The following is a 23,654-nucleotide window of genomic DNA, read 5'->3' on the forward strand; positions in this document are numbered from 1 at the left end:
ATACATTTAGTTTCCAGAATGGCATATATGACATAATAAATATGTGCTAATTGAATAAATGAATTAAATGATTAATGAAAGCAAGGTGGTATCAGTACATGACTGGACAGATCAATGGAACAGAATAGAAAGCAAAAACACAAAACTCAAACACACAATAACTGGGTTTTTGTTGTTGTTGTTGTTGTTTTTTGAGACAGAGTCTCACTCTTGTTGCCCAGGCTGGAGTACGGTGGCACGATCTTGGCTCACAACAATCTTTGCCTCCCAGGTTCAAGCGATTCTCCTGCCTCAGCCTCCTGAGTAGCTGGGACTACAGGCATGCGCAACCACGCCAGGCTAATTTTTCTATTTTAGTAGAGACGGGGTATCACCATGGTGACCAGACTGGTCTCAAACTCCTGACCTCAGGTTATCTGCCCGCCTTGGCCTCCCAAAGTGCTGGGATTACAGGCATGAGCCACTGCGCCTGGCCAAGAGTTTTTATGAAGACAGCACTTGAAATCAATAGGATGTAGATTATTCTTCCACAATTGGTCTTGGTACAAGTGGCTTGCTGAGGAAAAAGAATAAGGTTGGGTCCCTGCTCAAGCCAAAATAAATTCCAAAAAGATTAAAACTTTTAATGTTAAAAGTAAAACTATAAAAAAGAAAAACCATGAGAGGATTTTTTATTCCCTCAGAGAGGGAGAAGCCTTTCTAAGGAGAACATAAAAGCTATTAAGGAGAAGAATGATCAATCAAACTATATAAACACTTAAAATTTCTCTTATTTGAGACAGGGTCCCACTCTGTCACCTAGGCTGGAGTCCAGTAGCACAATCACTGCAACTTTGACCTCAACAGGCTCAAGTGATCCTCCCACCTCAGCCTCCTAAGTGGCTGGGACTATAGGCGCACGCCACCACACCTGGCTACTTTTTGTATTTTTTGTAGAGATGAGGTCTCACTATGTTGCCCAGCTGGTCTCAAACTCCTGAGCTCAAGCAATCCGCTTGCCTTGGCCTCCCAAAGTGCTGGGATTACAAGCATGAGCCACTGGGCCTGGCCAAAAATTAAAAATTTCTATAGGGGAAAAAAAACCACCCCCGCCCCCCCACCACCACACACATACACCATAAACAAAGCAAAAAACAAATACCACACTGGAAACACAGACGGAACCCTTACATGAGGGCAATTTCCTTAACAAATACTAAGTTGTACACAATGCATAAGAAAATAAAATGGCACGGAAAGCAGAAGGAAATATAAGTGGTTTTAGAACACAAAAACATGCTCAGCTTGACACAATTAGAGAAATGTAAATTAAAGCCTCAAAATTCTATTTTCCATCTATCAGGTTTGCAAAGATCAAAATACCTGACAACACTTCAGGTCAAAGAGGATGTGGAGAAACAGGGACTTTATATCCTGCAGTAGGAACGTAAACTGCCAAAAATATCAGACAGTCAAAATCACAAACGCATTTTACCTCTGACCCAGCGATCCCACAGATGAATTTTTCCCTGTGGTCTCACTACCTACCACCTACATAAGATTCTTTAAGCATTACAGCACTGTTGGCAAAATAGTGGAGTGGTCCTATCAATAGGGATAGTAATTAAATAAACTAACTTATAAGACATTCACAGAACAGAACACTACGCAGCAATTAAAAAAGATTGAAGCAACTCTATCTGTTCCAAGGAAGAAAGTTCTCTAGAATAAATGAAGCAAAAAATGGAGAGCAGACCAATATTAGAGGTTTTTCCTATTAAAGCCAATCGTTTAAGATGACTCCAATGCTTGCTGGAGCCTGCGGAAGAGAAGGGAGGTGAGGAAGCCAGATGGTCAGGGTCCATCCTGGCTCTGGCAGTTCTGGTCATGTGACAGACAAATCCAAACCTCCTGGTGCCTGTTTCCTGACTTGTAAAATGGCAGTAACAATGGTATCTACCTCCTGGGTTGTTGAAAGTTAGTCCATCCACGTGAAGCCTTTAAAATTGTGCTGGCACCGAGCCAGCACCTAGGATCAGCACCAGATAAGCACCCAGGGTCAGCACTGAGCCAGCAACTAGGATCAGCACCAGATAAGCACCCAAGGTCAGCACTAAGCCAGCACCCAGGGTCAGCATTAAGCCAGCACCCAGGGTCAGCACTAAGCTAGCACCCAGGAACAGCACCAGATGAGCACCCAGGGTCAGCACTGAGACAGCACCCAGGATCAGCACCAGATAAGCACCCAGGGTCAGCACTGAGACAGCACCCAGGATCAGCACCAGATGAGCACCCAGGATCAGCACCAGATGAGCACCCAGGATCAGCACCAGATAAGCACCCAGGGTCAGCACTGAGACAGCACCCAGGATCAGCACCAGATGAGCACCCAGGGTAACCACTGAGCCAGCACCCAGGGTGGGAAAGTATTATTACATCATTACTAGTATCCTCATGGCCTCTGGGGAGAAAAACTATGAAGGAGAAAGACTCAGTGTTTTCATTAAGAACCTTCTCAAACCTTTTGTATTTTGTACCCTGAGCACGTTTACCTATCCAAAAAGTAACCAAAATATTTCTAACAATGCAGTTACTTGGAAAAACGCTCATGGTAGAGGAAAAAAGCCAGGACACAAAATTATACCTGAATACTTAAATGAAGGAAACTGTCTATTTTAAAAAATGCCTAGGAGGAAAGACTGAAGGAATTACACGCACATGCCCACAGTGAAGGGTTAAGAGTGGTGCAGTGCACAGATCCTCATCCCGCAAATAAAACAAAGACAAAAAAAAGTGAGGCCAGAATAACTTCGTCCTGTTTTACAAATACTCTGCGGCATGTTTACAAATACACCCAGGGCTGCCTGTGTGCCAGGCGTGGTGCTCAACACTGAGGCCTGACGCTCTTGATCTCACAACAACTGAAGCAGTTTATTTTACAAACGAGGACATGGCAGGAGGGAGACTGCCCGGCTCCCGCGGTTGGAAGCTGGTGTTTGAACCCACTCGTCCTCACATCAGTTAGTTTGGTCTCATGCGGTCCCTGCTGCCCCCGCCATCCCCAGCTTCAGTGGAAGCAGGATGAATTTTAAGTAACACAGACAGAAGTGAGATGGTAGCTGTGGCAGGCACCAGTAGAAGGTGGTGGCTGGACAGGGAATGCCAGTCAGCTGGAGACTCAAGGAAAACTAGGAATCAAGCAGGCAAAGGTGGACGGCATTCAACGCTCCCCTTGGGGGAAGATGAGTGAGGCCAGGATGGTGGATCAGCCCTGAGGCTGAGGAAGTAGAGTGGGAAGAAGAGCTGGAGGGGCCGGGCCCTCTTCCCTGGGTCAGGGGTTCTGTGTTATCCCCAGAGGGCTGGGGACCCCTGAAGTGTTTGGTGGGGAGGGGGCTGAGAAGGCGTCTGCCGTGGGGTGGCCTGCAGATGCTGGGTGCCTGTCCCGGGACTGTCTGGGTCAAGGGCCTTGAGAGGGTCCTCTCCAGAGAACACCGGGCTCAGCAATAGACTCCACTTGGCCCTGGTCATGGTCCAAAGGTGGGGGTCAACTGGACTCTTTGGGGAGAGTCCAGGCGGCCCTTGGCCCTCTGTAAGCCTCCGCACCCAGGCAGCCAGGGCTGGCTGAATGGGCTTCTGTGGCCCCTCAATAGGCCTTTCATCCACTCGTGCCTCGCAGAGCCTCTCCCAGAGCCTCTCCAGCTGAGGGCCTCCCTCCCTCGGGGCACAGAAAACAAAGGCACTGTCCAGGGAGGCCCCTGGCTGCTCTGACGAGGCACTTGGGGGAGGGGAGCTGGACCATTGAGTCCCCACGTGAGCAGTGCCATGCCCTCTCCTCTGACCAAAGGGAAGCGTGGGGTCTCCACGTTGCGTGCCTAAAACCCCTGCCTGGTTTCACATCTTCCTTTGGAAGAAGTCCAGGCTCCCTTACCAGGCAAGCCAGGCTCTCCAGGCAGCCCCCGCATCTGCCATGTGGTCCCCGATGTTCCAGCCAGCCTCGGCCCTTCTTCTCTGACCAAACGCCCTGCATCCCCCTGGAGAGCCTTGCTCCCTCTCACCAGGTCTCGACCACACCACAGGGCACAGGGCACAAGCACGGCGCCCATTCCAACTTGGCCTGTGCAGGTCAGCTCAGGGGCCACCTCCACCTTTGCAGTCACCCCCTCGGGGTGCCTTCCTTACCACCCCACCCCAGCACCGGCCTTCCCTGACCCAGCTGGGGCCCTGCAAGACATCCCGAGTGCTGCCCGTGCCCACGTGCACCTGACGGCATTGCCTCACTTGATCTTCACAAAGATCCTGAGAGGTAAGAATAATTCCCTTCATTGATCTGATGAGGAACTTGGGGCTCAAGGCCCGAGCGCCTGGTCTGCAGTCAGGCCTGTCAGGGCCAGGCCAAAGCCCCACCTGCCTGCAAAGCCACGCTCCTGGCTCCACACTGCAGGCTTGTCACACTGGCCCCTCCCCACCCAGAAAAGGCCCTTTGCTGGCAGGGCGTCCGGGGCCCAGCGCAGGGCAGTATCCACCACAGAGAGCCAGTGAACGACAAGAAACACAGGACGTGCCGAGCCCTGTCCTCGGTGCGTTCAGAGAGCACGCGGCAGCCTCTCCACTCACCCTCAGCTGCTGGCAGGCAGAACTTTATTCATGGGCCTGTCTTAGACTTGCACAACGCTGTGAAATCCTCGAAGTGCTTTCACAATCCCCAGGCCACATGTGTGACCACCTAACAGCCATTTTACAGTTAAGGAAACCGAGACCTTCAAGTCCGGGCACCTGGCAAGCTCGTGGGGTTGGGCTTCGTATCCAGTTCTGTGGGCCTGCTCTGCCCCAGGCGCTGCATGAGGTCCTAGGGGACAAAGGGGAACAAACCCTGACCTCAAGGTGCCTTGCATGGCGGGGGAGGCTCCTGCTGGATTGGGGCTCCCATAAAGCATCCTTTATCCTCCTCTAAGCAACAATTCCCACAAAGCCCCCTACCTCCTGTGACCACCGCACCTGCTGCCCGCCCCGACCCCACAGCTGTTTCCAGACAGTTTCAATATCTCCTAAGCACAATCATCAAGCTGAAACAGTGGTTCCATATTCAAATTCCTGTTTTCTGTGAGATCATCCTCACAGGGGCCTTATCCAAGATCCTAACTCACTGCTCTGCTCAGACACAGAAAATGGCCTCCTACATGACCAGCTGACCGACCGACCGACCACTTCCTGAGTAATTTCTCAAGCTTCTCCTGACACTCACGCAAAGGTGCCCCATCTCAGCCAAGAGCCAGCACTGCCAGCTTCCCCGCCCTTTCCTCCACTGCCTGGGCTTGAGGCCACCCAGCCACTGCCCAGTCATCATTCCACCTCCTCCCGCCTCCATGCCAGCATGCTCTATGGCACGAGGAAGTCACAGAACCCTTGAACCTTGAGGCCCACCCACGCCCCCAGCTCACGATATCTGCAGAGATGCCAAACCCTGGCAGAGGAACTCAGGCCATGTGCTTCAGCTGCTCCCTCACTCCTCCACTCCCTGCCCGGGCCCTGAGCCAGGAGCCAGGCACACAGCTGGACCCATCCGCCAATGCCACCCACCCTTGTGCCCAGCACCCGGCCCACGGCAGGTGCTCAGTGTGCAGGCCCACATGTACTAGGTGCAAGGCAACGACACACCACACAGGACAAGGATGCAAAGCACCTTCTGGGCCCTTCTGCGGCTCTGCCTTCCCAGGGGTCTCAGTCCCCTGCTCGATCTCATGCTCTCCGCAGGCAACGTCCTTGGAAATGCCCACTCCCACACCAACCCTCATTCCTAGCCCTCCTCTACTCTGACTTCTGAGACCCACTGCATTGTGAAAACCAGGGGGCTGGGCTCTGCCTCGTACACTATGCCAGGACAGGCCCACCCAGGAAAAAAAGGGCATCGAACATCCTTCTCTGGAGAAAGGGATATGTTTGAGCATGAGAAGGGAAGCGCCAGCCTCGAATCCAGGACAATTAGGTCCAACATCCCCTGCTGCTATGGGACCCTGCACAAGTGCCTTAGCCTAAGTCCCACTGTCTCCCTCTGCCAACAGGGACAACACCCCTCACGTCACCGGGCTGTCACTGGAATGAAACGCTGCCAATACAATACTGGAGGAAATGAAGTCCCCTCCGTAAAGGGGACTGCAGTGGTTCTGGCTCCAACTGTCCCCGGGAGAGAACGGGCCCCACTGAACTTCAGGGAAGGATCCTGGACGCAGAGCCTTCTTCTTGTCGCAGCCTCTGATAGAGATGACCTCATCCCTGTACCCTAAAGCAGAAGCAGCTCCGGCTGGGGCGGATCCATCGGGGTTTGCTGCAGGGAGAGGGCTCCCGGGAGCTGAGCAGCAGCTAACGAGCTCCCACTGTGTGCGGGGGCAGCTCCCTCCTCCCTGGATCAGGAGAAACCTGGAATCCTAGACCCCTACACCCCTGGTAGGCATGGTCTCAGGGATGGCCCAGGTCAGCACCGGCCAATGCAGACAATCCGTGGGCTGGCAGGAGGGACCTGCAGATAGAGCTGGGGGTTTGGGGCAGGAAATCTAGGACCCAAAGTGTGAAGTCACAGTTCACAGGGTTGTGGGATGAGAGGGTTCGATTTCTATTTTGTGGGGCCAGAGTGGGGTGTGATTCTTCTCGCTTGTCTTGCTTCCTTCACTTCTGATGTCCCCGATCCCCAGCACACACAGCATCAACCTCCCTGAGCAGCTGGTCCTGCCTACCCACAGTGCTTTTTACAAGTGGCTTGGTTTCAAGTGGTTAAGAGTGTGGACCAGTGAAATGTGTCCCAGAACCTTGGCTGTGAGCAGTGACCAGGCCAACCTTCTTCTCCCTAATTCATAAAAGGAAACTGAGGCACAGCGCTGCCACCTGTCACAGCAGCCTCCATGACACGCTCTGAGGCTCTAGGTCTGACCCTCGCTCCTTCCTCAGGCAGAGATAGAGCAGCAAGCAGTACTACTCTGCAAAGGGGAACAGAGCCCAGAGGCCTACAGTGACTTCCCAGAAGCGGCTCAGCAAATTACAGTGTGAACCTTCATTGCCCTTTTCCTGCCGCCTCTGCTCAGGCAGGGCCCTGTGTGGGCAATACCTCGCTCAAGGGCCAGTTCCCCAACAAATGATCACCTCTTCACCGGAAAGATCCCTCTCCACCCCCCCAACCACCAAACACTCACCCGAAAGATCCCTCTCCACCCCCCTACCACCACTCACCCGAAAGATCCCTCCCCATCCCCCCCAACCACCAAACACTCACCTGAGAGATCCCTCTCCACCCCCGCCATCACCACTCACCCGAAAGATCCCTCTTCACCCCCCAACCACCACTCACCCGAAAGATCCCTCCCCATCCCCCCAACCACTCACCCGAAAGATCCCTCTCCACCCCCCAACCACTCACCTGAGAGATCCCTCTCCACCCCCGCCATCACCACTCACCCAAAAGATCCCTCTCCACCCCCACACCACCAAACACTCACCCGAAAGATCCCTCTCCACCCCCCCACCACCAAACACTCACCCGAAAGATCCCTCTCCACCCCCCAACCACCAAACACTCACCCGAGAGATCCCTCTCCACCCCCCAACCACCAAACACTCACCTGAGAGATCCCTCTCCACCCCCGGCACCACCAGTCACCCGAAAGATCCCTCCCCATCCCCCCCACCACCAAACACTCACCCGAAAGATCCCTCTCCACCCCCCAACCACCACTCACTTGAGAGATCCCTCTCCACCCCCGCCATCACCACTCACCTGAAAGATCCCTCTCCACATCCCCACCACCACTCACCGGAAAGATCCCTCTCCACTCCCCCATCACCAAACGCGCGCCTAGGCAGCTCCTCCTGTCACTCCCAGGGGCCTGCGCCCAGGCATCCGTCTCTGAGCTGGTGCGAGGGATGAAAAGTCAGAGCCGTGGAGGGGAGCTCAGGTGGGAGAGGGACAGGAGCCACACACGAGGGACTACGCAGTGTCACAGCACAGGGGCAGGAATTGACAGGTGGCACCAAGAACAAGGGTAGCAGTGGCTGATTCCACCAACGGGTCAGGAAGAGGCCACAGAAGGGCCCTAGAGCCAAGGGCCCCCCTCTCCGCCAACAACGGGTTGAGGAGGGTGATTCCAGGCCAAGTGTGGAGGGGACCTCGGGAAACCCCCTCCAACAAGTCTTACGGCTGGGGCTCAGGGGGTCAGCTGGGGCAGGTCACCAAGGGTCTTGGACTATATGCCTGGCAGACATCAAGAGGTTCTTAAAGGTGTGAACGTGGGCCAGGTGCAGTGGCTCATGCCTGTAATCTCAACACTTTGGGAGGCCAAGGCGGGTGGATCACCTGAGGTCAGGAGTTCAAGACCAGCCTGGCCAACATGGCAAAACCCTGTCTCTACGAAAAATACAAAAAAATGAGCCAGGCATGGTGGCAGGCACCTGTAATCTCAGCTACTCAGGAGGCTGAGGCAGGAGAATCACTCGAACCCAGGGGGCGGAGGGCGCAGTGAGCCGAGATTATGCCACTGCACTCCAGCCTGGGTGACAGTGACAGGAACAGCCACATGGGGACATATGGGACAATGCAGGTGGGGAGAGGAGACAGCCCAGGCACAGCCTGGACCTCAGCCACAGCTGGCTGAGGGGCAAGGGAGGGCTGACTCTTGGCCTGCGGCTGAGGAGTGCAGGGGAGAGCAGACACAGGGCGGGCAGCGAGTCACGTCTTGGTCAGGCTGAGCTGGAGGCACCCGAGACACATACAGGTGGGAGCAGATGTCCCAGGGCAGTTGGTGATAGGGTTCAGGCCACGTTACCCCAAAATACGACACGCTGGCACTTGAGAAAATAGCAGAAGCAGGAAGGTCTCTCTCACCCTCCCTCTGCCCTTCTCCCTGAAGCAGGTCATGAGACCCTCATGTGAAAGGCACCCTCTCTATGTCCGGAGGAAAAGAGCATCCTCATCTCTGAAGACACAGCAATTAGTTGAGAGAAGAATCTCAACAAACAGGCCTTGCTAAGTGCCCCCAGTTTATTACCCCAGATCACATTCTTTTTTTTTTTTTTTTTTTGAGACGATGTCTTGCTCTGTCACCCAAGCTAGAGTACAGTGGCGCAATCTTGGTTCACTGCAACCTCCGCCTCCCGGGTTCATGCAATTCTCCTGCCTCAGCCTCTTGAGTAGCTGGGATTACAGGCACCTGCCACCACACCCGGCTAATTTTTAGATTTTTAGTAGAGACGGGGTTTCACAATGTTGGCCAGGCTGGTCTCGAGCTCCTGACCTTGTGATCCACCCACCTTGGCCTCCCAAAGTGCTGGGATTACAGGCGTGAGCCACGTCGCCCAGCCCAGATCACACTTCTTTATCCAGTCAGACTCCTCCACAATGACCCACTTCTTTATCAAACCTAGCATAGAAAATAAACAGGTTGAGGCTGGGCACGGTGCCTCAACATACCTGTAATCCCAGCACTTTGGGAGACTGAGGCAGATGGATCACCTGAGGCCAGGAGTTCAAGACCAGCCTGACCAACATGGTGAAACCCCATCTCTCTACTAAAAATACATAAAAATCAGCCAGGCATGGTGGTGGCCGCCTATAATCCCAGCTACTCAGGAAGCCGAGGCAGGAGAATCGCTTGAACCCAGGAGGCAGAGGTTGCAGTGAGCCAAGATCTGAGACTCCGTCTCAGAAAAAAAAAAAAAAAAAGAAAGAAAATACACAGGTTGAGCCCATTTCTTTGGATTTTCACTTCCTTATGAAGGCTCCTGTATCATGTAAAACTTACACTAAATTATACTTTTCTCTCTTCTGCCTTTTGTTATAGGAACCTCAGCCATGAACCTAAGATGGGAAGAAAGATAGTTTTCACCTCCTACATTGGCAGTGGGGCCTGAAGATCCGAGGGATGTCTGGGCTTGTCCCAGCGATGTGTGTGAACAGGATACAGAGGCAGGGGTGGGAAGCCAGAGGCATGAACAATCAGCCTGTACCTGCCTGCCACCACCCCCTCCCCAGGGAGGGCCAAGCTCCCAAGAGTCAGATCAACCCTAATTCAGCACTGCATTTCCAGGGTTCAATATATATGACCTCCACAAATGACACAATGGTGACTACAAATACATAAAAATGTACACTCAGACAGGGGTAAAAACTGCAGAGAAGGTAAGAAATTAACAGGCACACCAGGCGCAGTGGCTTATGCCTGTAATCCCAGCACTTTGGGAGGCCGAGGCAGGTGGATCACAAGGTCAGGAGATCAAGACCATCCTAACATGGTGAAACCCCGTCTCTACTAAAAATACGAAAAATTAGCTGGTGTGGTGGCGGGTGCCTGTAGTCCCAGCTACTCGGGAGGCTGAGGCAGGAGAATGGCGTGAACCTGGGAGGCGGAGCTTGCAGTGAGCCGAGATCGCGCCACTGCACTACAGCCTGGGTGACAGAGCGAGACTCCCTCTCAAAACAAACAAACAAAATTAACAGGCACAAGGGTCTTGAATGGCTGTTGTTGCTGGAAAGGTGCCTATGAAGCAAGGTTTCAGAAAGAACCAGAAGGGAGAAGCCTAGTCCAAGGCCACCTCACCCCAGGTCCACCTATCACTCTGAGGCCTGGTCCCCCTCTGTAAATGGGACAACACCCCTCCTGCCTTCTGCTCAGCACTGCTGTGAGGACACACGAGGGTGTGCAGGGCAGCACTTCTCTATTATAATTACATGGATAATCCACACGCTTCATAACATGTGGATTTGTATTCTGCTTTTCTCCCTTTCTCTGCCATAAGTGTTGCTCCAAGTGTGAAAAGCATTTTTCAAGATTCAAAGCACATCCCAATACAAAGCCCTTTTACATTAAAGATAATGGACACGTGGAGTAAGGGAACTCTGCCTGTTGTTCACCTGCCTCGGTCTCCTCACTTGCACCACGGGGCAAGAGGCAGCACTGGTGAGATCAGGCAGCCAGCCCTCCTGATTCTTCACCCTGTTTGAGACAGTCGGGGTCCACTCTGAGTCTCCCCTGTCTGTGTCAGTGATAGGGCTAGGCTGGTTGAATTCTGGGACTCTCTCCATCCCAGCTCCCCCAGGACGGGCTGTGACCCAGAGGGCATTCTGCTGCCTCAGCCGAAACTGGGACACTGGGAGCAAACTGCCCCCCTACCTTGGGAGGGTAGAGCTCATCAGGCACAGGAAGCCTGGAGTCACATCTTCTCCCAGGAGAATGCCCATCCTGCAGAGTGGGCTGGGTGGGGACCGGCTCCAGGGGAGGCTGGCCCACCGCCTCTCCATGTGGTGGGGCTGAGCCAGGGCTCTGTATGTGACCTCAGCCTCCGTTTCCCTGATGTGCAGAGTTCGGCTTTGACTCAGGGGCACAGGTATCTCTGGGGGTGAGGAAGGGACCCCGTGGAGTGTTAATTTTCCCACCCACCCCCGCCAGGTGTCAATGTCGATGACATTAAGGTTCATGCTGTTGGGGCTCAGGTGGATCCAAGGACAGGTGGCTGGGAGCAGGCCAGATCAGGAAGGTGGAGGAAGGCATCACAGCCAGTCCCTCCTGCTTCTGAGCCTCAGTGGCCCCATCTATCACATGGGGGCAGGGGTGGTAAACAGACAGCCCAGTGGCCACCAACTCAGGCTGACACACCCAGACAGAGGGAACGAATGAATTACACCACAGACTCCAGGGCCCCCCAGGAGGACTTTCACTCAGATGCCCAGGTCGGGGGAAGGAATGGGCATTTTGTTTTAAAGTTCCCCAGGGTTCTGTGCTCTGGACACGGTGTGGTACAGGGTGGGCAGACTGAGGCAGGCGAGGTGTTCTAAGGAGTGGAGGCTGAGGTTCAAGTGGAACGGGTAAGCACAGGTGCTAGGCCGAGTTCCCCAGCACAGGCCACGCAGGGCATGCAGCCCCACTTCCAAGGAGTCGGTAGGCCTGGGTGGGAAAGCTCCCCTCAGCACAGCAGCCACAGCCATAAAGGCCCAGAGGCGGGCATCACCTGGAAAGTGGGAAATCACATCCAGTCAAAACACGCTTCTACTTCAGCTGCAGAACAGCCCGGGTGCCCACCCGGGTGGCAGGACCTTCACTAGGCTGACTCACCAGGGGACCTGGTGGCTGCTCTCAGGACGCTGGGAGGGTGGGCAGGACAGCCGGGTTTGGGTGATAGGCAGTGAGCTCTGCCCTCTTAGGAAGCTGAGTGCACCAGACCCAAGCTGCTGGAAATGACCGAGGGAAGGTCTACTCAACCCTCTGAGCCTCTGCTTCATCCCTGTAAGACACGGGCTAACTCCTACCTGACAGGGGTTATGATATTAGATGACGTATTGTTTACAAGTCCCGCTTGGCCCTGCCTAGCCCAGCACCGCATGCAGGAGGGATCAGAGGTCCAGAGGGACAAGGGCCTCCAGAAGACAGAAGAGCGGGGCTGGGGCTGCACAGGAGCTGCAGCTATGCACCAGGGCTTCCCCAATCCCACAGAACCCTTAGCGGGAGAGCCTGGACTGGGGCTTGCAGAGCTCCTGTCTACAGCAGTGACAGGGAGAGGCTGGTTGAATTCTGAGACCCGGGGGCCTTGGCAGAGGCCGGGCACATGTACTGACCCTGAGGGGCAAACGTCTCTGTTGTCTCTGAGGCCCGGCAAGCTGGGGTGGCCTGCAGTGAGGGGTGACCAGGAGTGGAAGGTCAGTGTGCGTGTGGGTGCCGTTGGGGAGCTGGCCTGGCCTGTGCTCAGGGCTCAGCTCCCAGGCCTCATGGTCCTCCGATGGGGAAGAGGGGGCCTCTGCTTCCTGCTCGGGGAAGACAAGCCTGAAACGCCAGGGGGAGAGCTCTCAGGTAAGAAGACAAGGTTGGAGGATCACAGACTGGCAAGGCATGGGCCCAAAGTCTAGTCTGAGGCTGGATCCTTTCTCAGCTCCCTGCATGCCCTCAGCAGGGACGCCCATCACTACCTTCTGTGGCTCACCTTCCTTCCTAGTCCACACAAGCTAACTAAAAGGGTTCTCCTTCAGCCCCGTGAACACCCGTCTACCACCTACGGTCCTACCCCTGCCCTTGGGGGTCACACAGCAGCCTCCAAGAAATGGCCTCCCAGGTGGCCAGCTTAAAGACATAATCCAAATACAGACACCTTTGCACGTATAAAAAGCTTTGCTGCAAGTTATTTCTAACAGTGAAAACTGGATCCCAGCTATGTTTCCAACCACATGAGACCAATTAAGTAAATCACGGCATTGCCCACCCAACTCTCGAGCAGGCATTTAATGTTTGGAGTCTGAGCAACATGGGAAATGTGTTAGGAACCTTAAATGAAAAAGCGTGATTAAGAAACCTGCATAGAGAAGATCAAGTACTCTTTTAAAAACCTCTGGAAAGATCAGAGGGCAGGACTTTGCAAAGTTAATGGTGTGTCTCTGGGTAATTGGAACTAGGCATAATTGTTTCCTATTTTCTAGTTTCCGTAATGTGCATGTGACTTTTTTTTTAATTAGAAAAAAATGTGTTTGGGAAATCTGAGGATGTTAACAAGTCTCCTGCTTGGGGCTTCTTTACAGCAGCCTAGTGGTGTGGCTGACACAAGCCTCCCCAGCTCGATGAAGGAGGCAAGGAGACCCAGGACAGTGAGGGGACGGCTCATGCCATGGAAGTTCCTCTGCAGAAGGCTGGAAGCTGGAGGCGGAAATGACTCCCCAAGGCCCCTGAGCAGGGCAGCACAGCATTCTTACCCAGGCCAGTGGTGCCTATGCGGCCGCTGCAAAGATGTCCATGCAGCTGTGGTCCTCGGCCTCTTTAAACTGTAGGGTCCAGCGTCCTCAGGTTCCGTCCGGAAGGACACAGAGTCTCAGCCTCAGGAGAGGGCCTCCTGGGCTGCTCCAGTCCCAGGAACGGGTAGAGGCCGGAACCCACAACCCTTAAAATAGGCCCAGGAACCGAAAGAGGCTCTGCTGCCATGCCACACGGCCACACTTCCTCCCCGCTGCGCTGGCCCACAACTAGCTCTGACTGCTGTGGGGTTGGAGGGCCCCAAGGAGTGCAGGGAGAGCTTCCGCATTGACTCAAAGCAGCCCGAGCGTCGGGGCATAAATACAACCCTGATTCCACGTGCAGGCACTGCGCCAGGTGCTTTGTATCCTGGATAATAACAGCAGCCTGGACTGCACCCGACTCCACACCAGGGATTTGTGCTGAGCCTGTACCTGCCACGTCTCATTTACTCCCTGTCACTTCTCTCATACAATCCCTAAGTCCCTAGAGAATTTGTGGTCTCCAGTCTACAGATGAGGACACTGAGGCCCGAGGGCTGGAGTGCTTAGCCAGGGCTCACAGTCTTCCTTTCCAGCGGCACCTCCCACTAAAGGCCCCCCGGCCCCCATCACTTATGCCCAGCTACACCTGGCCTAGCAAAGTGATGGCGGGTTGGGGGAGGTGAAGGGTGCACAGCGCTCTTCCCCATTCGCAGGCCTAGCACACACAGGTGTTCAGCACAGAGGCAAGGCCGTCTCCCTCACTCCTCTGGCCCATTCCACGAACCCTTCCGGGTTGGCTATTTGCACATGATGGGCCTCAGCTGGAATGGCAGCCCTGCCACCTGCCAGCTACGTGGCTGTGGGTACATCCCTCCCCACGCTGAAGCTCAGCTTCCTCACCTGCAGAATGAGGTCAAGACAGAACCCACCTCTCCGGGAGCAGGACTGAAGGAAACGCGGCAGGTGTTAGGCACCGGCTCGCGGCAGGCACGCAGCATCCTCTGCACTGATGGCCCCTCCCGTGCAGCCGCCCCACAAATCACACCTGCAGGGCTTCCCGAGGCCAGGGCTGGGAAATACCAAGTTCTGAGCCAGGGATTACTCCAGCCTCGACTTATACAGCCCTGCTTAGAGCAAAGTGAGCTTCTGCTCCTCCATCCACACAAGCCCATCCAGCCTCAGCCCTGCTTGAAGACTACGCTGTCCACAAACCCCTCCCATGGGCCACGCTGGTGGCTCCATTCTCTGTGGCCTCTGGCTAAGTGTTCACAGCTCCACTGGGGTCCTGCCTCCATCCACTGTGGCCAGGCTGCCACACAACCTGGAACACCATACCCTCAGCACCCTGAGGACGGGTCTAGGTGGGCCTCACCTCTGCGCAGGGTTAAGCAATTAAGAGCTTGGGCTCAGCAAGATTCGGCCACTTCCTAGCCTTGCAGCTGGGGGCACCTTACTTCCCCCCAACCTGTGTTCCCTCATCAGGACAAAGAGAAGAACAGAACAATGTCTAGCCCACAGGATTACTCCAAAGACAAAAGGAAAGAATGAACATAAAATGCCCCTTCTCTGCACCACTCCGGACACAGGGAGAATCCCTTAGCCCCAAATGCCAGGCACAAATTGCTCCAAGAATGCTCAGCTGAGGCAGGGCACAGAGACAAGCAGCCGGATGTGGGTCCCACCTGCTCACGGCACCTCTCAGGACTCACACCAGGTCTTGGGCCCAGGTCGCGTCCACGTTACCTGACCAACTGTCGGGTGGGCTGCCCCTGTTGAAAGGGAGCCTGTGTGCTTGGGCTGAGGCCCAGGGCCCAGGAGAAGGCCCAAGCCCCGGGAAGAAGTGGCAGGGTTTGTCCCCCTTCAGTCCAAATGTCTGCATCGCACACCTGGGTCCTGAATCACCTGGTTCATCTGTGACCTGGAGTCATGAGCAGTGTCCTGTGGATGCAACACCAAAATCTTGCTCCGGGCAGCCGCAGCCCCACTGCTTCCAGCAGGGTTTGTACTTCAGCTAACAGTGACCTGTGCTCCTGGCTGTCTCCCCCATGGACTGTGCCCTCCCACAAGGCAGGGATCAGGGCCCAACACTCCCGCCCCCTCTCAGTACAGAGCAAGTGCTCAACTCCCCTTCTACTGCAGAGGCTGCCACAGACAAGCCTCAAAAGCCAGATGTGAAATCTACAAGGTGCCTTTCATCACGAGAGCTGAGCGATGACCCCTGAGTGAGGAGGGCCAGGAGCTTAGTCCCATCTCAGAGACAGACACTGACTCAGAGAATGACAACCACTCAACCAAAGCCCAGCGCCTCCACCTGAGGCTCCCTTGACACCTTCAAAACAACGTCAGAGGACACAGCAGGTTTCTGAGTAACCCAAGCTTTTGCTAAACAACAACAAAAATCTGGGAGATTTAAATTCATTCATAAATCTAACAGGCTGTCACAGAGGTGAAGTGGAGATGATCAAACACAACCCTGCCCCCACAGCTTGAGAGTGTTGATGATTCAGTGGACGCAGAAGTGCTCCGGGGCTGGTGTTCTGGCTCCTCTCAGGACTCACACCTGAGAGGTGAGAGGTGCGCTCCACTCTGGGCATCAAGTTCCTAGTAAGCTCACCCCTCGCTGAACATCAAATCTCTCATCTGAAAAATGAGCCCTTTTTTTTTTTTTTGAGACAGAGTCTCACTCTGTAGCCCAGGCTGGAGTGCAGTGGCGTGATCTCGGCTCACTGCAACCTCCGCCTCCCGGGTTCACACCATTCTCTTGTCTCAGCCTCCTGAGTAGCTGCGACTATAGGCGCCCGCCACCACGCCTGGCTAATTTTTTTTTTTGTATTTTTAGTAGAGACGGGGGTTTCCTCATGTTAGCCAGGCTGGTCTCAAACTCCTGACCTCATGATCCGCCCGCCTCAGCCTCCCAAAGGGTTGGGATTACAGGCATGAGCCACCACGCCCGGCCAAAAATGAGGCCTTCTAAGAAGCTAAGATTCCCATCTCCGTGGCCCTCCACGCCCTTCATCTGCCAGTCCAGATAATAATTTTCTCACTTGTTCACTAAATGTTTACTGGGCACCTGCTCCGTATGTGCCCCATGCTGGGCACCAAGATGAATCAGACTGGGTAATGCCTTTGAAGGCCTCACCTGCTAACTGGGGAGACAGCACACAGACCATGACAAGGCCACAATCATCCTGATTGTCCCAACAAACATGTGCCTGGCACAAAGAGAACACAGGCAGAACAGGACTGTGTGCCTGGGAGCTGGAAAGAGTTCCCGGAGAGGCAACACTGGAGCTGAGACTTAAAGGAAAACTTAGAGATGCTTGTGGGGCACATGAGTAGGGGCGGCTTTCCGGGCAGAGAAAACAGCAGGTTTTCTCTGCTTCAGAGCCCTGCAGGGACTGAGTTCAGCAGCAGGGGAAGAGGGGAGACCTGGCACGTGCGGGAGGCCTGGAGAAGAGACAAGGAAACAGCGTGAGTATCGTAGGCACATAAAGACCTGGCTGGGGATATTCAGGGAGTGGAGGGCAGGCTCTGAGGTCAGGCTGGCAGAGGGTCAGTCCCGGCTATGCTGCTATGCTGCTTCCTCATTGGTTGTCCCTGGGCAGGCTCTCTCTCTCTCTCTCTCTCTCTCTCACCCTCAGGCTCTTCATCGCTGATATGGAGATAATACTGCTCCCTGGCAAAGTCAGCATTGTGTCAGGATTAAATTTGCAGCATGAGTAAAGCACCCGGCACATAGTAAGTGCTCAGTAAATGCTAGGTGCCATTTTCACTGTTCACTGTTCTTCTGGGAATGGCCCTGCAGCCTCCTTGCGGGAGGGGCTGCCTAGAAGAGGAGAGAAGGTGCTCACAGGTAAAGGTGGTCAGAGGACAATAGGTGTGTGTGGACAGGGGAGTGGGGAGGGACTGCTTGAAGCTGCTGAGCAAACAGGGCCAAGTGACCTGCAGCAGATGGTCCTTCAGATGCATCCCAGCTCAGATATTCGGTGCCAGCTGACAGGTGGGCCTGCCACGGTGGCACACAGTAGGTGCTCAATGAATGTTTGCAGAATGAATGAATAAGCACGCTCCAACTTCTGCTCAAAAGTAAATCTTGACACCTTTTCAGAAAGAAACCATTGAAACCTTGTCAACCATTGAAGTTCTTGTCCATTTCACTTCATAAGCACCCCCCACCCCACCCCTGCATGAGGAAAGGCTCGCCTGGGCAGGCTAGGCTGGGGCCTGCTCACTGGGAAGCCTCCCATGCTAAGCCTGCCTCCTACAAAAGGGATTCAAATTTACTTCCTCTCTCCACTCCAGCCTCCAGGGTGTGGCCTGCTGAGGGGCCCTGAATGCCTGGGACTGCCATGTCCCTGCAGCTGTGTGACCTTAGGGGGATGCACTTGTTCTCTGGGACTCAGTTTCCCCAACGGTGAATGAAGGGGTGAATCTGGAAGGCTGACATTCCGTACTCAGCAATGCTGTCACCCCCTCAGAAATCCCCAGCCTAGCCTGGGGGTGGGGTGGGGGGTGGCTGACAATGTGGTATGAAGTCATTCCCTGCACGGAGGAGGGAGGGGTCTTTTCCATGGAGAAAATGACGAACCTGAGACGACAAAAGAGGGGGCTTCTCCTGGGCTTCAGTCTGGGCATGATCCATCAGTAATGGATTACCTCACTGGCTGGGAGACCCCACCCACACCTGCAGTCCCAGGCCCTTCCAAACAATACGAGGCACCCCCATCCCACGCCCCCCAGCAGATCCATGACTTAAAGCCCAGAATCACACCGAGAGGCAGCAGGCCCTGCCCCTCAGCCAAGCGGGCGGGTTCGGGGGGCCATTGCCCAACAGGTCCCTGGATACAGCTAAGGGATGAGAGGGGCCGGTGGGTGCGGAAAGACAAAGGCTTCGGGTAGCAGGAGACAGTGGCCAGGGCACGCTCGCAGCGAGGTCCACCCAGAGCCCAACGAGGGCCCGACCCTGCCGCGCTGGGCTAAGGGTGTACCCAGATCCCACGCCCACACTCCCTACCGCGGTGCTGAGGGCCCGGGGCGGGCTTCCTGGAGAAGGAAGAAGACCCGCAGAGACACGAAGAAGAAGGAGGAAGATGAGACAGACACCCGGACGGACTGACAGGGGGAGACGCCGAATGAGACCCGGGCACAGGGGTGCGGGGCGCTCGTCGGACGGAAAGCAGAGACAGACCCAGATGCAGGGACGGTGGGGGGGGGGCCATGGAGGAAGACAGGGTACCCAGGCAGACCCAGAGACCACGACACCCGCGCAGAGACAGAGATGCGCGGGGCGCACAGAAACACGGACGCGCAGAGGCGGCCCCGGAGACGCTCACCTCTCCCGGCCCGGCCTCGCCCCCGGGTCCCACTCACCGAGGCCGCAGACCTCGCGGCGCAGGCTAAGACGGCCGCGCTCCTCCGCTATGGCACGCAGCATGTGCTGCAGCGAGCGCTCCTCGGCCTCGGCGCCGCCCGCAGGCTCGGGGGCGGCGGCGGCGGGGAGGGCGGGCGGCCCGGCCCGCAGCCCGCCGCGAGCACCAAGGAAGCCACAGTCCGCCTCTGTGCGCGTCGCCGTCGCCGCCGCCGCCGCCACCACCCGCCAAACACAGCACCGGCGAGCGCACCTCCGCGCCGCCGCCGCCCGCGCGCCCCCGGCTCCGCTCGCCCCGCCCCGGCCCGGCCCGGCCCCGGTCCGGCCCCGCCCCTTCCCCGCCCCGGCCCCGCCCCTGTCCCCTCCCGCCCCGCCTCTGAACGGCCCGGACCCACCCCGGCTCCCTGGCCCCGCCCCCTGACCTCCCTTGCCCCGCCCACTTCCAAACGGCCAGTCTCCGCCAATCTTCGGATGCCCAGGACAGCCTCCCTCAAACCGCTCGCGGGGTCCCGCCTCCACCCAAGGTCCTAAACGCCCCACCAACGGGATCACGCCTCTGAGCCCCTCCCGCCGCCCCTTCAGGGCACCTCTCCCCTCCCCCGCTGCTACCCCACGGGATGTGTACTTTGTCACCCGCCCTGTGCGTTGCCACCTCCACCAAGTCCCCTCGGCTGACTTCTGGGAACTTCCTCCGCAGAACCCCTCAAGAGGTCACCTGCTCCCAGAAGGTGGTCTCCTGGGGGACACCGTGGCAAAGCCCTTCCGGCCCCCCTCCTCTGCACCTGGCACAGTGCAGAGTGTTGCGCCTCCATTTCCTCAGCTGCACCATGGGGGACCTTTCCCTGCCTTGCCTCCCCAACATGGGGGAGTGTTGATGAAGGGGGAGGTATGAGGTTAGCTGGGCGTGTCATCCTGATGAAGCCAGGTCTGGCCAGCATCCCTCCGTGTGCTAGTTGTGGCTGATACAGGAAGACACCGGAGAAGCAGCCAGTGGCCTCCCCAAACCTCACGCCTGGTGGTCCATTTCCAAGAACAGGGGGAGATGGAGAGACCAGCATTGATTTCCAGGTCTCTCCAAAGCTAAATCTACATCACTCCCTGCATTCACAGCCTGTGTGTGGACCCCAGACCCATCAAGGTCCCCCTTTCCCCTGTCTGGAGTCCTCTTCTCCCCATTCCTGTGTAACTTGCTTCCTTTGTGTCCCGAGTGTCACATCCTCAAAGAAACTCCCCTGACCGCCTTCCCTCCCTCTCTCTTCCCTTAGTCTGTTTCTCCTTCACAGGGTGACACTTACCTCCTCCCGACACATTGGATACCTATGGGTTCACTTGTTCTCTTCTCTACCGAGGGAGGGGCCTGTCTACTACACAGCTGTTGTCTCAGTACCCAGAACATTGCCTGGCACACATTAGATGCCCAATAAATAGATATGGGCTGCAGGCTGGGCACAGTGGCTCATGCCTGTAATCCCAACACTTTGGGAGGCCGAGGTAGGTGGATTGCCTGAGGTTAGGAGTTCCAGAACAGCCTGGCTAAAATGGTGAAACCCCATCTCTACTAAAAATACAAAAATTAGCCGGGCATGGTAGCACACATTTGTAATCCCAGCTACTCTGGAGGCTGAGGCAGGAGAATTGCTTGAACCTGGGAGGCGGAGGCTGCAGTGAGCCGAGATCCCGCCACTGCACTCCAAGCTGGGAGACAGAGCAAGACCCTGTCCCCCCCCAAAAAAAAAGAAAAGAAAAGAAAAAAAAATGTAGGCTGCATAAACGAAGAATGATGGAGAGGTCTGATGGGGACGCAGGGGTCTTCCTGGGAGGCACAGCAGGAAGGAGCCGTGGGGTTGGGCAGAGCCCCAGAAGGGAGATGGGATCTGGATCCTGCTTCAGGCCTCTGCCCCAGTTTTGTGCCACTGGCCCCTGAACTCTTCAGAGCAGAGCCACATCTGACCCCTCTGTGTCCCCAGTGCCAGGCCCAGGAGGGCTCTGTAGAAAGGTGAGCAGTGAGGGAATGAAGGAAGTGCGCGACCAGCCTCACGTGTATTTCTCTTCTCCAGTGGGCCTGCATCCCTGTCTGTAAAGTGAGGACACTGGCATGAGGGCTGAGGCCTCTGGTTCTGCGTCTGGAGAGCTGGGGTTTGGGCTGGTGGACGTGAGAACTGGGGATGGTGGATCAGACAGCATGAGCGAGTGCTCCAAGGCTGTCAAGTCCAATAGTCACATCCCTCTTTGCCTCCCCAAACCCCACAGCACCCCCTGCCTGTTCCCACTGCCATGCGTTTGCCCACAGTGTTCCCTTGGCCTGAAATCCTTTCTGCTCCGCAACTGTAGTTGCCTTTGGGACCCACATTGCCTGGTTACGCTTGGCCAATGCATTGTGTTCTTATTTGCTTCACAAACCCCCTTTCCCCACCCCACCCTCCTGCACACAGTTGCCTCCGTGTATTCTGTGTCATATGACCAGCATTGAACCAATTCATCCCACTTCCCGTGGCACCCAGCCCAGGACTGGTGCCAGAAAAATATCTGTTGAATGAATGAGTAAACAAACATCGCTTGGGCTCTCTCCTTTGTATTTCAATAATACTCCAGGTATTACCTATACACAGAATTTTCTTTCTTTCTTTTTTTTTTTTTTTTTTTTTGAGGCGGAGTTTTGCTCTTGTTGCCCAGGCTGGAGTACAATGTCGCGATCTCGCCTCACCGCAACCTCCACCTCCCAGGTTCAAGCAATTCTCTTGCCTCAGCCTCCCAAGTAGCTGGGATTACAGGCATGTGCCACCACGCCCGGCTAATTTCATGGAGATGGGGTTTCTCCATGTTGGTCAGGCTGGTCTCGAACTCCTGACCTCACATATACACAGAATTTTCTAATGTCAACAAATGCTAAATCACACTGTGCATGGGAAGAGGGCAGGAGCAGGACTTCTGGGGCTACAGAGCATGTTCTGTTTCTTGATCTGGGGGCTGGTTACACGGGTGTGGTCAGTTTATGAAAATTAAAAGGCTGCACAGCTGGGCATGGTGGCTCACGCCTGTAATCCCAGCACTTTGGGGGGCCAAGGCGGGCAGATCACCTGAGGTCGGGAGTTCGAGACCAGCCTGGCCAACCTGGCGAAACCCCATCTCTACTAAAAATACAAAAATTAGCTGGGCGTAATGGCACACACCTGTAGTCCCAGCTATTCTGGAGGCTGACGCAGGAGAATCGCTCGAACCTGGGAGGCAGAGGTTGCAGTGAGCCGAGATTGTGCCACTACACTCCAACCTGGGCAACAGAGCGAGACTCCATCTCAAAAAAAAAAAAAAGTTAGAAAATCAAAAGGCTGTGTGCTGTGGTTCAAACCTGTAACCACAGCACTTTGGGAGGCCAAGGCAGGCAGGAGGCTGGCTTAGGCCCAGGAGTTTGAGACCAGCCTGGCCAACATAGCAAGACCTCATCTTTACAAAAAAAAAAAAATTAGCCAGGTGTGATGACACACGTCTGTGGTCACAGCTACTCAGGAGGCTGAGGTGGGAGGATTGCTTGAGGCGGGGAAGTCAAGGCTGCAGTGAGCCGCGATCACACTGCTGCACTCCAGCCTAGGCAACAGAGTGAGACCTGGTCTCAAAAAAAAAATATATATATATGTATATATAACATATATATATGTAATATATATAATATATATGTTATATATGTAATATATGTATGTAATATATATATAAAGCTGGCATTTTGTAATTATTTATGCACTTTTCTGTATACAAATATTCAGAATATAAAATAGAATTGAAAGTATATAGGCAGAATAATGGCCCCAAAATGCCCACACCCTAATTCCTGTGCTAATTCCTGTGAATATGTTGCCTTACCTGGCAAAATGGACTTTGCTGACGTGATTTTTTGTTTGTTTGTTTTCGAGACAGGGTCTCACTCAGTTGCCCAGGCTGGAGTGCAGTGGCACGATCTTAGCTCACTGCAACCTCCACCTCCCCAGCTCAATCCATCCTCCCACCTCAACCTCCTGAGTAGCTGGGACTAAGGGTGTGTGCCACCACACCCGGCTATTTTTTGTATTTTTTGGTAGAGACAGGGTTTCACCATGTTGGCCAGGCTGGTCTCGAACTCCCGACCTCAAGTGATCTGCCCACCTCGGGCTCCCAAAGTGCCGGGATTACAGGCATGAGCTGCCACATGGGGCCTAAGAGTACAGACACTGAGATAGGGAGACTATCCTGGGTTATCCAAGTGGGCCCAATCTCATCACATAAATTCTTAAAATCGGGGAACATTTCCTGGCTGTGGTCAAAAAGAGATGTGACAACACAAGAATGGTCAGGTAAATGCAATGTTGCTGGCACTGAAGAGGGAGGAAGGGGCCACAAGACAAGGCATACAGGCAGCTTCCGGAAGCTGGAAGAGGCAAGGAAACAGATTCTCCTACAGTTGCCCCCAGATATGACACAGCCCTGCCTGCACCTTGACTTTAGCTCAGCAAGACCTCAGTTGAACTTCTAACCTACAGAACTGGAAATGTGTTAAGGCAATAACGTTGTAGTAATTATTACAGCAGTGATACCAATACGTGGGCA

General features: G+C 54.9%; 1 protein-coding gene across 1 annotated transcript in view, besides 18 other annotated features; it reads right to left on the reverse strand.

Moving 5' to 3' along the window:
• The window catches only part of KIAA0930, a 48,651-nt gene extending 29,315 nt beyond the window's left edge, over nucleotides 1-19,336 (reverse strand). The window contains exon 1 of the mRNA NM_001009880.2: nucleotides 19,082-19,336. Within this exon, the coding sequence (NP_001009880.1) occupies nucleotides 19,082-19,145 (64 nt within the window). The 5' untranslated portion in view covers nucleotides 19,146-19,336. The remainder of the gene's footprint in view (nucleotides 1-19,081) is intronic.
• Nucleotides 1,664-2,165: an enhancer, noted in NCBI's record as "H3K4me1 hESC enhancer chr22:45619103-45619604 (GRCh37/hg19 assembly coordinates)". NCBI's record gives its function as "activates a minimal SCP1, AML or CMV promoter by ChIP-STARR-seq in naive H9 embryonic stem cells {active_cell/tissue: H9 hESC(naive)}" and the evidence as "EXISTENCE:reporter gene assay evidence [ECO:0000049][PMID:30033119]".
• Nucleotides 2,166-2,665: an enhancer, noted in NCBI's record as "H3K4me1 hESC enhancer chr22:45619605-45620104 (GRCh37/hg19 assembly coordinates)". NCBI's record gives its function as "activates a minimal SCP1, AML or CMV promoter by ChIP-STARR-seq in naive H9 embryonic stem cells {active_cell/tissue: H9 hESC(naive)}" and the evidence as "EXISTENCE:reporter gene assay evidence [ECO:0000049][PMID:30033119]".
• Nucleotides 2,867-3,861: an enhancer, noted in NCBI's record as "H3K27ac-H3K4me1 hESC enhancer chr22:45620306-45621300 (GRCh37/hg19 assembly coordinates)". NCBI's record gives its function as "activates a minimal SCP1, AML or CMV promoter by ChIP-STARR-seq in naive H9 embryonic stem cells {active_cell/tissue: H9 hESC(naive)}" and the evidence as "EXISTENCE:reporter gene assay evidence [ECO:0000049][PMID:30033119]".
• Nucleotides 3,862-4,854: an enhancer, noted in NCBI's record as "H3K27ac-H3K4me1 hESC enhancer chr22:45621301-45622293 (GRCh37/hg19 assembly coordinates)". NCBI's record gives its function as "activates a minimal SCP1, AML or CMV promoter by ChIP-STARR-seq in naive H9 embryonic stem cells {active_cell/tissue: H9 hESC(naive)}" and the evidence as "EXISTENCE:reporter gene assay evidence [ECO:0000049][PMID:30033119]".
• Nucleotides 4,503-4,647: an enhancer, noted in NCBI's record as "145 bp 22:45622014 sequence used in MPRA reporter constructs". NCBI's record gives its function as "activates a minimal TATA-containing promoter with rs6007506 allelic activity by MPRAs in C283T melanocytes and UACC903 melanoma cells {active_cell/tissue: C283T | UACC903}" and the evidence as "EXISTENCE:reporter gene assay evidence [ECO:0000049][PMID:36423637]".
• Nucleotide 4,575: a transcriptional cis regulatory region, noted in NCBI's record as "rs6007506 or 22:45622014 MPRA-significant variant associated with a GWAS melanoma risk locus at 22q13.31". NCBI's record gives its function as "allelic transcriptional activity by MPRAs in C283T melanocytes and UACC903 melanoma cells {active_cell/tissue: C283T | UACC903}" and the evidence as "EXISTENCE:reporter gene assay evidence [ECO:0000049][PMID:36423637]".
• Nucleotides 11,555-11,699: an enhancer, noted in NCBI's record as "145 bp 22:45629066 sequence used in MPRA reporter constructs". NCBI's record gives its function as "activates a minimal TATA-containing promoter with rs5766573 allelic activity by MPRAs in UACC903 melanoma cells {active_cell/tissue: UACC903}" and the evidence as "EXISTENCE:reporter gene assay evidence [ECO:0000049][PMID:36423637]".
• Nucleotide 11,627: a transcriptional cis regulatory region, noted in NCBI's record as "rs5766573 or 22:45629066 MPRA-significant variant associated with a GWAS melanoma risk locus at 22q13.31". NCBI's record gives its function as "allelic transcriptional activity by MPRAs in UACC903 melanoma cells {active_cell/tissue: UACC903}" and the evidence as "EXISTENCE:reporter gene assay evidence [ECO:0000049][PMID:36423637]".
• Nucleotides 13,682-14,031: an enhancer, noted in NCBI's record as "active region_19217". NCBI's record gives its function as "activates an Ori minimal core promoter by ATAC-STARR-seq in GM12878 lymphoblastoid cells {active_cell/tissue: GM12878}" and the evidence as "EXISTENCE:reporter gene assay evidence [ECO:0000049][PMID:35858748]".
• Nucleotides 13,882-14,026: an enhancer, noted in NCBI's record as "145 bp 22:45631393 sequence used in MPRA reporter constructs". NCBI's record gives its function as "activates a minimal TATA-containing promoter with rs5766576 allelic activity by MPRAs in C283T melanocytes and UACC903 melanoma cells {active_cell/tissue: C283T | UACC903}" and the evidence as "EXISTENCE:reporter gene assay evidence [ECO:0000049][PMID:36423637]".
• Nucleotide 13,954: a transcriptional cis regulatory region, noted in NCBI's record as "rs5766576 or 22:45631393 MPRA-significant variant associated with a GWAS melanoma risk locus at 22q13.31". NCBI's record gives its function as "allelic transcriptional activity by MPRAs in C283T melanocytes and UACC903 melanoma cells {active_cell/tissue: C283T | UACC903}" and the evidence as "EXISTENCE:reporter gene assay evidence [ECO:0000049][PMID:36423637]".
• Nucleotides 14,092-14,221: an enhancer, noted in NCBI's record as "active region_19218". NCBI's record gives its function as "activates an Ori minimal core promoter by ATAC-STARR-seq in GM12878 lymphoblastoid cells {active_cell/tissue: GM12878}" and the evidence as "EXISTENCE:reporter gene assay evidence [ECO:0000049][PMID:35858748]".
• Nucleotides 14,242-14,321: an enhancer, noted in NCBI's record as "active region_19219". NCBI's record gives its function as "activates an Ori minimal core promoter by ATAC-STARR-seq in GM12878 lymphoblastoid cells {active_cell/tissue: GM12878}" and the evidence as "EXISTENCE:reporter gene assay evidence [ECO:0000049][PMID:35858748]".
• Nucleotides 14,382-14,481: an enhancer, noted in NCBI's record as "active region_19220". NCBI's record gives its function as "activates an Ori minimal core promoter by ATAC-STARR-seq in GM12878 lymphoblastoid cells {active_cell/tissue: GM12878}" and the evidence as "EXISTENCE:reporter gene assay evidence [ECO:0000049][PMID:35858748]".
• Nucleotides 18,910-18,999: a silencer, noted in NCBI's record as "silent region_13875". NCBI's record gives its function as "represses an Ori minimal core promoter by ATAC-STARR-seq in GM12878 lymphoblastoid cells {active_cell/tissue: GM12878}" and the evidence as "EXISTENCE:reporter gene assay evidence [ECO:0000049][PMID:35858748]".
• Nucleotides 19,150-19,209: a silencer, noted in NCBI's record as "silent region_13876". NCBI's record gives its function as "represses an Ori minimal core promoter by ATAC-STARR-seq in GM12878 lymphoblastoid cells {active_cell/tissue: GM12878}" and the evidence as "EXISTENCE:reporter gene assay evidence [ECO:0000049][PMID:35858748]".
• Nucleotides 19,370-19,429: a silencer, noted in NCBI's record as "silent region_13877". NCBI's record gives its function as "represses an Ori minimal core promoter by ATAC-STARR-seq in GM12878 lymphoblastoid cells {active_cell/tissue: GM12878}" and the evidence as "EXISTENCE:reporter gene assay evidence [ECO:0000049][PMID:35858748]".
• Nucleotides 19,460-19,659: a silencer, noted in NCBI's record as "silent region_13878". NCBI's record gives its function as "represses an Ori minimal core promoter by ATAC-STARR-seq in GM12878 lymphoblastoid cells {active_cell/tissue: GM12878}" and the evidence as "EXISTENCE:reporter gene assay evidence [ECO:0000049][PMID:35858748]".

This window comes from Homo sapiens, chromosome 22 (genome assembly GCF_000001405.40).
Source record: "Homo sapiens chromosome 22, GRCh38.p14 Primary Assembly".
NCBI classification, from domain to species: Eukaryota; Metazoa; Chordata; class Mammalia; order Primates; family Hominidae; genus Homo; species Homo sapiens.